Below are 14,846 nucleotides of genomic sequence, written 5' to 3' on the forward strand. Positions count from 1 at the left end.
TGCCTCATTCTGCGCTCCCCTATAGAAGCACCCACAGCTGCCCAGGAGCCGTGAAGGGTTTATTTTCTCCATGAGCAACAGCATGTGTGCTCGTAGAGGGCAGAGCATGGGATGCTCCAAATCCAGAGGGGCCGGGCTGTCAGCGATCCCAGCCTCACTTCATTCTCCGGTTGGCTGTTGACCTTGCCAAAGTGACAGTCCCTCCGTGTCTGCGGGACCACCTGCTTCCTCTGTGTTCAGCCCATGCTCCGTAGCCCTTACTGTATGGAATTCCTCACATGAGCCTCTCTCGCAGCCTGTTGCAGGCTACTGAAGGAAAGACACCGTCCCTGGCATAGAATGGGTTCGGTAACTATCAACACAGCAAGCACAGGAGGTGATTCCTGTACGATTCTGTGTTGAGTGGTGTGAAGAGACGGATCATTTGGCTCATGTTAGTTGTAGAAGGTCTAATTCAAGAATGAGTACCATCTTACACTTTCTAGAAGTCTGTTACTTAAAATGTTTTCTTTCTTCTAGGTGATATCCGACATCCAAAGCACGTCCAACAGACGGATGTGGCTGCGACACTGGCGATAGCACTTGGCTTACCGATTCCAAAAGACAGTGTAGGGAGCCTCCTATTCCCAGTTGTGGAAGGAAGACCAATGAGAGAGCAGTTGAGATTTTTACATTTGAATACAGTGCAGCTTAGTAAACTGTTGCAAGAGAATGTGCCGTCATATGAAAAAGGTCAGTCAACTCACCGTTTCGAGCTCTGTCAGAGCTGTGTGTTTCCACTGAGCTCGGGTTTCTCCGATGTGTTTCTGTGGTATGCAGTTTGTCACAGGAGTATTTTTTCATCACTACTCTTTGATGATACAGATTGTGTTTCTGTTTTCTTAGAACTTTGAACTATCACCATTGGCAGCACCCTCAGATGCAGTTATCTAAAGTTCTTTCATAAATTTATTCATTCAACAACTATTTACCAGGATCTTGTTATGAATGAGAGGCTGTTAACAGGCACTGGAGACAGAGCAGGTACGAGGCTCTGCCCTCATGGAACCTTCCAGAGGGAGGAGAGAAAAGGAAGTGATCGATGGCCGATGGTGACGAGTACCTTAGGAAAAGAATAAACAGGGCTGGGTGCGGTGGCTCACGCCTGTAATCCCAGCACTTTGGGAGGCCAAGGCAGGCGGATCATGAAGTCAGGAATTGAAGACCAGCCTGACTAACACAGTGAAACCCCGTCTCTACTAAAAATACAAAAATTAGCCAGGCATGGTGGCGGGCACCTGTAATCCCAGCTACTCAGGAGGCTGAGGCAGGAGAATCGCTTGAACCCTGGAGGTGGAGGTTGCAGTGAACTGAGATCGCGCTACTGCACTCCAGCCTGGCAACAGAGCAAGACTCTGCCTCAAAAAAAAAAAAAAAAAAAAAAAAGAAGGAATAAACAGGCGTGGGGTGGGAAGTGAAGCGGGTGGGGGAGCCACTGGGGCAGGCTGGCCGCTGGCCATCTGGGAGGGCACATTACAGGCTGTGGGGGCAGCAGACAGGGTCCTCCATGGGGCGCACATTCAGGGGATGGTCAGAGCAGGGGCCAGAGTGGCAAGGGCAGGGCAGAGGAGATGGCATTAAGGGGTGAGGGCCACTGGGCGCTGGAAGGGCTTTCACTTGTATTCTGAGTTAAATGGGGAGCTGCTGCAGGGTTTGGTGAGAGCCAGAGTCTCCCACTTGCATTTTCGAAGGCTGTCTCAGGCGCCCTCGTGGAGGATTCTGCTTTGTGCTGTAGGAGGAGACCAGTCAGGAGGCAGTGGCTGTACTTCTGTGAGAGGTGAGGGTGGCCAGGGCCCAGGCAAGGGTGGTGAAGAAGTGGTTGCATTCTGGAAAGATTCTGAAGGTCATGAAGACAGGATTTGCTCACGTGCTGCGATATTGGGTACGAGCAGACCAGAGGCGTTAGGTACGACTCCGGGGCTTTCAGCTGAAAGCAAAGAGAGTAATAATTTCCTCAGGAGGGCACGACTTAGGAGGAACAGTTCTGCAAGGCAGGTGCTTGTGGGTGGGGGTGTTGGTGTCCAGGAAGCCATGTAAAGAAGTAATTTCAGGAAGCATGGAGTGGGCAGCTGCGTCAAAGGTTGGTATTGAATAAAATCAGGAATTGAGAACTGAGCTTTGGATCTGGCCATGGAGGGTGATGAGTGGCTTCGTCAGATGGAGAGTGGGGGAAGGCCTGGCTGGTACTAGGCAGGCGAGAGCCCTAGGCAGCAGACACTGCGACTCTAATGGGAGTAGGAGGTGGAGTTGCCTGAGGCAGGTGTGGGGCCAAGGGAGGTGCCAGGAGACAGCTACAGGAAGGGTCCAGGAGAGGAACGTTTGTCTCCCTGGGATGTCTTCAGACAATCGACTCTGACGCAGCCGCGTTCATCAAGAATCATGTTTGATACTGGGACTCCTTTGAGAGCCCGGAGGAAGTCGACTCCTATTTGGGGGCAGCAGTTAATGTGGTGTTGGCAGATTTCCCTACTTGAAGTAGAGGGATACTATTACTACCAAATAGAGTGAACGTCCACAAGCTTGCGCTGAGATGTAAACCGGCCTCCTAGAGTCACGTGTGGAAGACAAACCTGGCCAGCCAAGGAGTGCTTGGGAACCGGATGTGATGAGTGTCTGGAGGCCCCACCGAGCACCAGCTCTCACCCTGTGAGGTGGAGGACTTTGGCCATGGAGCCATTTTAGTCAAGACCAGGGACAACAGTGACTTGTGCTTTTCGTTTTTTAAAAAATAGTATGAGTTTGGTAGCTTTTGCATATTGCTTGTTTTGTTACTGTGTCCTTTTTTCTACGCTAAGAGTGATAAAAACACCAACAAAATTGGCCAGGTGTGGTGGCTCACGCCTGTCATCCCAGCACTTTGGGAGGCTGAGGCGGGGGGATCACAAGGTCAGGAGATCAAGACCGTCCTGGCTAACACAGTGAAACCCCATCTCTACTAAAAATACAAAAAATTAGTTGGGCATGGTGGCAGGCGCCTGTAGGCCCAGCTACTCGGGAGGCTGAGGCAGGAGAATGGTGTGAACCCGGGAGGCGGAGCTTGCAGTGAGCCGAGATGGCGACACTGCACTCCAGCCTGGGTGACAGAGCGAGACTCCATCTCAAAAAACAAAACAAAAAAGATACCAACAAAATCAAAACAACAATGGAAGGGTTATTTGCCTGTTCCAGAAGTAGTGGCTGGGGGAAGATGGGAACCACAGTGGATATGAGAGGAAACCAGCCTGTTAAAGGAATGCAGGAGCCTCCCTTGACTGAAAACACAGCCACAGCGTCTGGAACCCCCCCTGGCGGCCCATTGTCTACACCGTCGGGGATCCTTTTTCCTAAAACAAAATGGGGTATGTGTTCTGACACTGAAATACGTTTTAGAACCCACAGCCAGGCCCGTGCAGTCCCTCGGTGGCGTCCAGTCTGTTGGAGGCTTTGTGCCCACCCGGCTCTCTCAGTGTAGTGGGACCGGCTTTTTCTCACCTCTGGACTTTTGCACATGCTGTTCCCATCAGCTTGATGCTCTTCCTGCAGTTTTTTGCCTGGCGAATTCCTGGGTACCGTTTACATTTCAGCGTAAACATCAGACCTTCCTGGTCCAGCGCCCACTCCCAATCCAAAATCAGTTCCTCCCCATTACCAAAAATCCCTCATTGATACCCTCTACTTTTCCTTCCTGGGAAACTTGTAATTACAGCTGTAATGCAGTCACAGTTTGTAATTACGCTTGTGTGCGTGCGTGCGTGTCTGTGAGCCCTACTGGATCCAAGCCCCAGCAGGCAAGGATTGCACCTGCTTGCTCGCCATGCTGTGTCTCCCCTGGCACAGCGCCTGGCACAGTGCCTGGCACGTCGTCCACGCTCCATGGATATTTGTTTCGATGCATGCACAGGTGCACCCCCATAGCTTTGTGACTCTCTGATAGGCGGTGGGGTGTGGACACAGGCGTCCCCCCATCCAGGGTGGTAGGTGTAGCAATGAAGGATGCCAGCCCTGGAACCAGACTGCCTGAGTTTCATTTGCAGCTTTTACCCACTGGCACTGTGGCCCAGGTGCGTGACTCACCCTCTGTGTCTCAGTTGCCTCCTCTGGATAACAGTTCTGATGCTCATCCCTGCCTCATAGGGTCATTAGGGAGGTGAAACGAGCGAGCCGCCTAGTGTTGCTGGCTACTGGCACTTAGTGCAGAGCACCTGGTGCCGGCAGCAGTGGGGTGGGCCTGCAGGCGTGTGGGTTCATGCTTAGGGACTTGGTGCCTGCAGCAGTGGGGTGGGCCTGCAGGCGTGTGGGTTCACGCTCAGGGACCTGGTGCCGGCAGCAGTGGGGTGGGCCTGCAGGCGTGTGGGTTCATGCTTAGGGACTTGGTGCCTGCAGCAGTGGGGTGGGCCTGCAGGCGTGTGGGTTCACGCTCAGGGACCTGGTGCCGGCAGCAGTGGGGTGGGCCTGCAGGCGTGTGGGTTCATGCTTAGGGACTTGGTGCCTGCAGCAGTCGGGTGTGCTTGCAGGCGTGTGGGTTCACGCTCAGGGACCTGGTGCCGGCAGCAGTGGGGCGGGCCTGCAGGCGTATGAGTTCATGCTCAGGGACTTGTGCCACAGCACCCTGGACCTCAGTGGCTTGAGCGCCTGTGGCAGCTCTTTCACTGCTGTGATAGCAGGCCTGGGGCATGCAGAGCCACAGGGTGGGGCGAGCCTGCCAAGAGGCACAGCTGAGACCCTTCTTGGCATGGCTCTTCTGGAGTAGGAAGCTCATGTCAAATACCGAGGGGGTCTCAGGAAGGAAGTTGTTGCTTTGCAGACCAGTCTAATCACAAGTGAGTGTGGTCCCGGCAGAGGCTCACGCATCAGCCAGCTCGGGAAAGAAAGAACATCAGCTGTGCCGTGAGCAGCATGGCACTGTGGTTTAAAAGAGGTTGCCATAGCAGAGGGGCAGGGCTCCATCCAGAGGCAGGGCATCCATGCGCCCAGCAGAGCTCACCCTTGTGAGCAGAGAGGGCTGGAAGCTCTCTTTCCAAAGAGGTTGTAAGGAAGTAACCCAGGCTGCAGAACGGGGGACGTTAGAGGTCGGGAAGGGCCAGTCTGCACTGGGGAAGTGGGTGTGGCAGAGAAGGGTCAGGCCGCTGCCTGCCCAGTCCCCATACAGTGCTGTAAGGGTTAGAAAGACTCTAAAACCTGACTGTTGACATAATGCATTTCAGGATTGTTTTTATATTGCACGTTGACAAGAAGGAGAGAGTGGAAAGAGACAGAACAGGGAGAAGGAAGTAAGAGCGATGAGGGAGGCAGAGAAGGAGGCCAGGCAGCACAGGGGTCAGTCACTGCCATCCGCGGGTGTATGCCAAGGACCAAGGCCTGCATCGCCAGAGGGCAGATGGATGCACATTGGCAGCTTTCCCAGCTTTACAGAAGGCGTTGCAGACCCCCCACCCAAAGGAATGATTGATCTTCATTAAGCGTCAGTTGTGAAAAGTGAAGGCTTTGCCGTGTGCCATGCATAACCGAATACTTTGAGATTATGTATATAAATGTATGTTCACGGTGTGTGTGCGCGCCTGTAACCTTTCTGTCTTCTTAATAGATCCTGGGTTTGAGCAGTTTAAAATGTCAGAAAGATTGCATGGGAACTGGATCAGACTGTACTTGGAGGAAAAGCATTCAGAAGTCCTATTCAACCTGGGCTCCAAGGTTCTCAGGCAGTACCTGGATGCTCTGAAGACGCTGAGCTTGTCCCTGAGTGCACAAGTGGCCCAGTACGACATCTATTCGATGATGGTGGGGACTGTCGTGGTTTTGGAGGTACAGATGCTCACACAGTCATGGCTCAGGTGTTGCATTGATTTGATAACTCAGCCAAATATTTATAGTTTTAAATATATATATAGGTGTTATTAAAAATGGGAAAATATTAATTTTCTTGTTTAACTCTTTCGTGGTGTGTCCTGATTTGTGACAAGACCCAGAGTATTGTCAGTGTCAATTGGCCTCACTCAGTATTGCTGCAGGTGATAAAAAAAAATCATGCCATGCATTTTGGGGCAGTTAATTAGGAATCATCTTTTCCTGAGCTTGCTTTTCTGTTTTTACTGTGTGGACAGCTGACACGAGAGCGGGAGCTGGGCTTATTTTTAAGTGGGTTTCTCCAAGCCCAGCAGTCTGTGGATGCTGCTGTTTCTCTGTTCCAGGTTCTCACCCTGCTCCTGCTCAGCGTCCCACAGGCACTGCGCAGAAAGGCTGAGCTGGAAGTCCCACTGTCATCTCCTGGGTTTTCTCTGCTCTTTTATTTGGTGATCCTGGTTCTTTCGGCCGTTCACGTCATTGTGTGCACCTCAGCTGAAAGTTCGTGCTACTTCTGTGGCCTCTCGTGGCTGGCGGCAGGTGGGGTGATGGTGCTGGCCTCGGCGCTGCTGTGTGTGATTGTGTCTGTTCTGACCAACGTGCTCGTGGGTGGAAACACCCCAAGGAAGGTACGTACGGCTGGTTCCTGGGAGTGTGACGTAGTCCTTCTGCTCAGGTTGTTCTTGTTATTTCAGGCTGCCTTTCGTTTACCAGACTCTGGTTGAACACCTGGTGTGTGCCACGTGCTGGCAGTGCCCTGGACAGGGGGCCTCAGGGAAGGACGTGGAGCAGCCTTATCCCAGGCCTCTGGGTGTCCCGACACAGGTGTTCACATCTGTGCTGTCAGGTCAGATGCCTCAGTTCTTGGAAAGCTAGGTTCCTGCGACTGTTACCAAGGTGATTGTAAAGAGCTGGCGGTCACAGAGGAACAAGCCCCCCCGCTGAGGGGGTGTGTGAATCGGACAGCCTCCCAGCAGAGGTGTGGGAGCTGCAGCTGAGGGAAGAAGAGACAATCGGCCTGGACACTCAGGAGGGTCAAAAGGAGACTTGGTCGCACCACTCATCCTGCCACCCCCAGAATGCATCCTGCCTCATCAGGTCCAGATTTCTTTCCAAGGCGGACGTTTTCTGTTGGAATTCTTAGTCCTTGGCCTCGGACACCTTCATTCGTTAGCTGGGGAGTGGTGGTGAGGCAGTGAGGAAGAGGCGGATGGTCACACTCAGATCCACAGAGCCCAGGATCAAGGGACCCACTGCAGTGGCAGCAGGACTGTTGGGCCCCCACCCCAACCCTGCGCAGCCCTCATCCCCTCTTGGCTTGAGCCGTCAGAGGCCCTGTGCTGAGTGTCTGACCGAGACACTCACAGCTTTGTCATCAGGGCACAGGCTTCCTCGGAGCCAGGATGATCTGTGCCACGCTTGCACCTCGGGCCCATCTGGGCTCATGCTCTCTCTCCTGCTATTGAATTAGTACCTAGCTGCACGCAGTATGTAGTTACCAAAAGAATAAACGGCAATAATTGAGTCCTCATCTTTACTTTTGACTGCTTTAAGTTAGTATATTTAAGAGACAGTACTGTGATGCCAACTTTGTCATTTCAACAGAATTAACCATTTTAGTGGAAACGTTCTGGATTTCTAGAATATTCCTGGAGAAATTTGAGGTCTGGTTTGGTGGGATGTATTGTTGAGGTTCTTTGGTTTCAAGAAGCAGGCACTGGCGACGTGCATCTGAAGACCTAAGCTCTTCCAGAGCCTGGAAGCGGGAGCGTGGAGGGCCGGGTCCAGGAGCCTTTGGGCAAGCTCTCTGGGCTGCACCACTGCCCAGAGGGTTCTGACCATTTTCAGTCTTTGTCACTCACCTTGGGACTTGGAGTCCAGTGTGAGAACAGCTGGCTGGCCGTGCAGTGTCCGGCTCCCCTGCCTGGGCTGAGGGCGTCTCCACTCCTGCAGGCTGCGTCCCAAGAGGAAGGTTCCTGCCGTTGGAGCAGAAGGGGGCTGTTCCAGAGTAGGGGCCCAGGTGCTGGGTGTGAGGAACAATGGTGTGTGTCCAGGGCATTCTCTGCTGTGAGCAAGGACTTGACATGCAGCAAGATGTGTGTCGTTATCAGACCGTCTCTTACAAAGTGCACTTTCCTTTTCACAGAACCCCATGCATCCCAGCTCAAGGTGGTCAGAGCTAGACCTTCTTATTCTGTTGGGGACGGCGGGCCACGTCTTGAGCCTGGGCGCCAGCAGCTTCGTGGAGGAGGAGCACCAGACCTGGTACTTCCTTGTGAACACCCTGTGTCTAGCTCTGAGCCAAGAAACCTACAGAAACTACTTTCTGGGAGATGACGGTGAGCCTCCGTGTGGCCTCTGTGTGGAACAAGGGCATGACGGGGCCACAGCAGCGTGGCAGGACGGGCCTGGCTGTGATGTCCTGGAGCGAGACAAAGGCCACGGAAGCCCCTCTACCTCCGAAGTGCTCAGAGGCCGCGAGAAGTGGATGGTGCTGGCCAGTCCGTGGCTAATACTGGCCTGCTGCCGGCTGCTGCGCTCCCTAAACCAGACAGGTGTGCAGTGGGCTCACCGGCCTGACCTCGGCCACTGGCTCACCAGGTGAGAGCGTAGGCCCGTGGCCACAGGCCAGACTTTCTACGGCCGATTGGTCACCTGCCAAGCTCTTCTTTTTCTAAATTGAGACCATTTTTCATATTAAGAATGGGATAGTATTTGAGATCTGAAGAATTGGGAAAATACACTAAAACCAGTGTTTTACTGGATACTAGAATCAATGTTGAGAAGTGAATTTATTTGGGGGCTAGCCTAACAGGTTTCATTTATTAGTGCTGAACCACTGTAACTGTTCATGATTGAAAACTTGTGTTTCAGTGATCATTATATAGTAAAGATGCTATGTGGGGGTCAAGCTTGCTAGTGGCTTGTTCTGGACGCCTCGTCCATGCCTGGGCTGTGTGCCCCCCGCCCATCACTCAGTGTCTGCCTGTGTCAGGCCATTCGTGTGTTGCTATAAAGAAACACCTGAGGCCGGGTCACATGTAAGGAAAGAGGTTCATCTTGGCTCTCAGCTCTGCGGGCTGCACAGGAGGCATGGTGTCGGCATCTGCTCCTGGAGAGGCCTCAGGAAACTGGCGGTCATGGCGAGGGCAAAGCAGGAGCCAGCACTTCACGTGGCGAGAGCAGGAGAAAGAGAGGGATGAGGAGGGTGTCCGGCACTTTTAAACATCAGCTCTCTTGTGAACAGCCACAGCGAGAATGCGCTCATTACTGCGAAGATGGCACCAAGCCATTCGTGAGGAATCTGCCCCCATGACCCAGACGTCTCCCACAAGGCTCACTTCCAACACTGGAGGTTCAGTGTCTTTTTTTTTTTTCTGAAACGGAGTTTCACTCTGTCACCCATGCTGGAGTGCAGTGGCACGATCTTGGCTTACTGCAATCAAGAGATTCTCCTGTCTCAGCCCCCTGAGTAGCTGGGATTACAGGCGCCCGCTACCATGCCTGGCTAATTTTTGTGTTTTTAGTGGAGATGGGGTGTCACCATGTTGGCTGGGCTGGCCTTGAACTCCTGACCTCAAGTGATCCACCCACCTCGGCCTCCCAAAGTGCTGGGATTACAGGCGTGAGCCACTGTGCCCAGCCTGAAGGTCCAAGTTCAATATGAGATTTGCAGTGGACAAACATCTAAGCCATGTCATTCCCCCAGACCCCTATCCTGCTGCTGATGATCCCCAGGGCAGCAAGAAGGACGGGGTCAGCCAGGCAAGGCAGGCGCAGCCTCTGTGGGCCAGCTTTGCCCTTAGCAAAGCTCCTTTCTCCTCCCCATCCTCCCTTTTCTCTCTCCTCATCCTGAAGGGACAGAGCCGTGTGGGGGAATTCAGCCACCTCCTGAGCCTTTCATTGGCGACTGGAAAACCACCTAGAAAGTATAGCAAATCATTTCAAGCAAGGCTCGAAATAAGTAGAAGAAACCAGGACAGAAAAATAACTAAGATTTGCCGAGACTTAAATTTTAATTGTCTGGCAGTGAAGACTTAGGAAACTAAAGCAAAAGAAGCAGCACAATGAGAGCATCTGCGGCGAGAGTAACAGCAAGGGTTGCGGTCCCGTCACTGCAGAGAACTCCTGTAAGAAATGGCAGCAGAAGGAAAAGGGAAATGCCTAGTCCTAGTAATGAGGGCACTTCCAGTTAAATGACAGGGTGTGACTTCATACCTGCTGAGGCAGAGAAGCAGAATTGAATGACGAGACTCAGTCTTGGTGAGCACGTGAGGATTCCTGGGGCCACGTTAGTGGCACAGTTCTTTTGGAAGATACTTGTAAGTTTACATCAGAAGCTGCGAAATTACAGATTCTTCTGATTAAGTAATTCTTGTGGGAGGCTAAGCATTAACTAAATTACGAAAACCTCGGTTAGCCAAGTCATCGCAGATGGGTCCTTCTATCTGCCTGCTGTGTGCCTGCACGTTTCCTTTCCAGAGAAGCCCCGGAGAGGGGACTTTGGTTGGTCCCCACTCCAGAGGTGAGGAAGCGGAGGGGGGACGGGCTGCTGGGAGGTTGTGCGGGGCACGCCAGCATCGGGGTGGGATCCCAGGCATGTAGAGCAGCCGGGTGTGTCAGGGAGCTCCGTGTCCCGGAATAGCACTTTGACACCTTGTTTCTTACTTTCCTGGAAAATTAAAGCATTAGGAAAGAATTGGCTGGCTTTCCGCCCCACATGCAAGAGCCACCCCCAACCGCATTATCCGCGGTTTTCCTTACGCGAGGTCAACCATAGTCTGAAAATATGACAGTTATTTTGAGGCAGCCCACATTCATATAATTTCTATGACAGTAACAATTATATTGTTATAAATGTTCTATTTTATTATTATAACAATCCTGAAGATTGTGTAAAAACGCGTGCCATTTAAAAAGCAACAATACACAGACACCCAGGTACCCCTTCCCGGGGTGAGGCCCAGGCCCCCGTGTGGCCCCAGTCTCCCCGTCATCCTGGGAGGCTTTGAAGCGGGAGCTGCAGTGAAAGAAACAGAAGGGAGCCCGGCCTTCCCCACCCTCACACAGGCCAGGACTGGCTGGTGCTGCACCACCGCATCGCGGTCGGGACTCCGGGCTCTGCCCTCTGACAGGCCGTCAACCTCTGCACCATCTCCTCACCCAGGAGCGGGTGACAGCAGACCCTGTGAGGCCATGTGGGTCTAGGGACGTATCATGCGTTACTGAGTTAATGGGAGGAGGCAGGAGAGGGGAGGTGAGCTGGTAGGTGCAGGGCTGACCCCGAGAGGGTACCAGGGAACAAGAGGACGGTTTCTATTTGTCACCGCCTGGCCTCTGGGCATCCACATCTGATGGTGGGAGACCCGTTTGTGAATGAGAAGTGAGAGTTCAAGTTAACTGTCTTTTTTTTTTTTTTTTAATGAGTTCTCACCATGTGGCCCAGACTGGTCTCAAATTCCTGGCCTCAAGCGATCCTTCCGCATTGGCATCCTAAAGTGCTGGGATTGCTGGTGTGAGCCACCACACCCCACTGAGGTTGACCATCTTTTATTTGTTACACTTTAAGAACCTTTGTTTGAAAATAAAAATCAACAATTTCATGTAATCTTTGGTTTTTGGGAAAATCAGCTATTTTTTAATACCGTTCTTTGAAAGCCACTTGGTGTAGATTGATCTTGTCGCTGTTTGTTTACGTAATGCTGGCATTTTCCATCTCATTTCAGCTCTGACCACAAAGCCGAGCTCTCTGTCCTGGCTGCCCTCTCCCTCCTCGTAGTTTTTGTGCTGGTGCAGAGGGGGTGCTCCCCTGTGTCCAAGGCTGCCCTGGCGCTGGGGCTGCTGGGCGTCTACTGCTACCGGGCGGCCATCGGGAGTGTCCGGTTCCCGTGGCGGCCGGACAGCAAGGACATTTCCAAGTAAGTGCGTGGCGGACACGGGGTGCATAGAGCCACTTTACTGTTTGAAGAACTGGCGGACACGGGGCGCGTGGAACCACTTCACTGTTTGATGAACTGAGAAGACCAAGCCAGTCTTCAGAGCATTGGAGTTTGGTGTTTGTGAATTGTGATTGTGTCAACAGCTACTGGAGTGTAACTAAGAAAACCTCAACCAGCTGCGTTGTTAGCACTTTTTATGTTTTATGTGTTACTTTTAGGAGACAAATCACTTGGAAGTAAGATTTTTTAAATTTAAAATAAAACCTTCAGGGTGTGTGATGGGACAGACAGATGAGCGTGAATCGGTTTCTAAGTTAGTGGCAGCACGTGATGGCCAGGGTTCTGTTTTCCTGGTCAGGGTGTAATTGGTGATGAGGATGATGAGTGGATGTTTCCCAGCAGCTGGGAAATGAAGCTTGCTGGAAAATCAGACCGTCCTTGTAATTTATAACGAGCCCCCGTAAGGGGCCAGGAGCTCCTGTTGATTGGCGGGAGGGCTCAGTCAGGAGGACCATTTTATTTTCTTTGTGTCAAAGCAACTGTGTTTCTGATTTTAATTGTGTTGTGGTGGTGAACACAGGAGTGGGATGAGCAGAGGCCGTTCTGGAGGGCAGCTTGTAACATGTGGGTGACCCTCTATTTAAATTTAAATAGCTGTTTCCATTTATCTCAAGAATATAAGCAGAGGCAGGAGCCTGGGATGGGACAGAGGCATGTCCACTGAAGTGTCCTTCACAAAGTGTCCTTGCAAAAAGGAACAACCAGGGTAATTATCCAGCAGCAATACAGTGATCCTCCCAGTGAGGTCGGTGCTCTGACAGTGACCGTCCCAGTGAGGTCGGTGCTCTGATAGTGACCCTCTCAGTGAGGTCGGTGCTCTGCAGAGGGGTCTTCTGGCTGTTAGGCAGCCTATTTTCACAGAACAGAGAAGCATGTTGTGGAACAGGTATGACCCCAGCTTACTAATTGTGTACCTGTTTTTTTTTTCATACTTATATGAAAGACTACATACTTAAAATACTGGTGATTATATTTAGGACCTGAAATCATAAGATTGTGGTCTTGCTTTTTACTTATTTTTGTATCTTAGCGATGTCTAGAGTTAATAAGTGTTGCTTTTCTAATCACAGCAAGTCAAGGTGACTGCTGAGGGCTGTGGCCAGCCTGAGGGGTGGCCGTGGGGCTCCGGGGGCACCCCTGGAAGTACTTCCTGGCTGAGTGGGGAGTAAGGGGTGGGAGTTAGGGTGACCTGAGGCCTGGCTGAGGCAGTGAGAGTGTAGCAGGCCGTCATACGGGGCCGGGGCCTGGGGCAGAGAGGATGCTGACGTGCAGGTACCAGCGGTGTTCTGTGGAGATGTCTCAAAGGCTGTTGACTTTGGAATCTGAGACTTAGGGCTCATCCAAATGGATGTTACATTTGCGGGTGTGTGTTTAAGGTGCAGCGTATGAATAAATTCATTTCCTCACAGATCTATACACTGAATTTCAGCATCACTCATCTCAAGACCTTGGCCCTCTTCCCTTTCCTGGCCTGCTTCCTGCAGCATGTAATTTGCTAGTGTCCAGAACTAGCCAGTGTGCCTTTTCTTTCCACACGCACTGCCTGGTTCACCTTCTTCCTGTAAAGTGCCTCCGTCCTTTGTCCCCATCTGTCCCGATCGTAAATAGGTCCTGGCTACAGAGGCATCCTGGCTCTAGATCATTGTAACAGCTGCCGCTCTCCTGTCAGTCCCCCGGGCCCTGCCATCCACTGAGAGTCTGAAATCCTTTGCACTCAGTTCCTGACTGTCCTCCACTCAGAAGCCCAGGGATGGCTGGAGTGGAGGTGGAAGCGGGGTGGGCCTGGTTGAGCAGGATCAGACTCTGCCCGGCCAGGGGAGGAGGAGGAGGACCCACCAAAGGCCCTGGATGATGCCCCTCCTGCTCATCACCCTGCCTGCCCTAGCATCCTCTCGACACAGAAACCAGTCCCTTTTCTTCTATGAAACTTCTCCAGTGATTGTGACCTTTGCTGATTTCTCCCTTCTTTGAATGCAGATGGGCCTATAATTCACTCTTAACTTAGCACACACCTTGGCCTGTGGGGGTTGCCAGGTACCTGACCCCAGCTCCTCAGCCAGGATGTGGGCCCCTCCTGGCAGCCACACTGCCAGGCACATGGTATACAGTGCTCAGGCTGTTTGAACTAAACTGATCAAAGTTTACTTTCTTAATGTAAAAGCTTTCTAAGAAAATCTAATATAGGAAAATTCAGTTTTCACAATATTATGATATTAAAAATTACGATTATTTTAAATGATCAGATTTGTAGGCTGTGTGAAGCATTTCATTTACAAAATTTATTTAAAATATTATGTTTTAGGAACATACGTGTTTTGTAAGATGAAATTTTTTGGTAATTGTATCCTTTACAGATAACTATCATAAGAGTACTTAATTTTACTGAGCTTACTGTGTGCCAAGCACTCCCTGCATTCCCTTGCTTAATTCCTAGGATGACTTTGTGAAGTGTAGAACCATTTTCTCTCCATTTCACAAATAGCAAAGCTGAGGGTCAGAAGTCTTGATTGACACGCCCGAGTAGGAGAGCTAGTGAGCAGAGCAGCAGGGCTCGGACTGAGCAGAGCTCTGCCTTTTCTCAGAGCCCGCGGGTTGGATGACTGCACCACTGCACGCGTGTGTGCCTGTGAATGTGCAGGTGCTTATTTACCTATAACTGCATGTATGTGTACCTGTAAATGTGCAAATCCTTCTTTAAATCTGCTCAGTTGTGCAATGAACATTTATGAACTTACAGCAGTTTCTTAGAGTTGACTCTTATACTAGTGCGTTGGGTTTTTTTTAATTAACTGCAAAGCAGGCGGGCCACGAGGGCACCGCTTGGGTCGTGCCACCAGATGAGCCAAATGAGCAAGATCTCCCCGAAGCCAGCCCCAGCGGAAGAGTCTGCACGAGGACACACCTGTGGGCCTGTGGCGGCGGCTCCTCAGGGCTGCTGTGCGGAGGAGACATGCCCACTGCCATGACAGGACCTGGGGGGTAGGGAGG

The 14,846-nt window shown here is 51.7% G+C and overlaps 1 protein-coding gene across 40 annotated transcripts in view; it reads left to right on the forward strand.

The window, feature by feature from the left end:
- PIGG (phosphatidylinositol glycan anchor biosynthesis class G (EMM blood group)) overlaps nucleotides 1-14,846 on the forward strand; it is a 40,991-nt gene that overhangs the window by 16,244 nt on the left and 9,901 nt on the right. For 11 of the 40 annotated variants that reach the window (NR_144326.2, NR_144331.2, NR_144330.2 and 8 more), the window contains 5 exons: nucleotides 520-732; nucleotides 5,603-5,820; nucleotides 6,207-6,488; nucleotides 8,006-8,460; nucleotides 11,586-11,777. Coding sequence is in view for 29 of the 40 variants with exons in the window: in NM_001345986.2 (NP_001332915.1) it covers nucleotides 520-732; nucleotides 5,603-5,820; nucleotides 6,207-6,488; nucleotides 8,006-8,460; nucleotides 11,586-11,777 (1,360 nt within the window). In the remaining 11 variants the exon portion in view is untranslated. Of the gene's footprint in view, nucleotides 1-519; nucleotides 733-885; nucleotides 1,024-5,602; nucleotides 5,850-6,206; nucleotides 7,391-8,005; nucleotides 8,461-9,717; nucleotides 10,352-11,585; nucleotides 12,089-14,846 lie in introns of those variants that run through there. The other 29 variants (NM_001289055.2, XM_047415856.1, XM_047415857.1 and 26 more) reach the window with 24 other exon arrangements.

Source organism: Homo sapiens, chromosome 4 (genome assembly GCF_000001405.40).
Source record: "Homo sapiens chromosome 4, GRCh38.p14 Primary Assembly".
Classification (NCBI taxonomy): domain Eukaryota; kingdom Metazoa; phylum Chordata; class Mammalia; order Primates; family Hominidae; genus Homo; species Homo sapiens.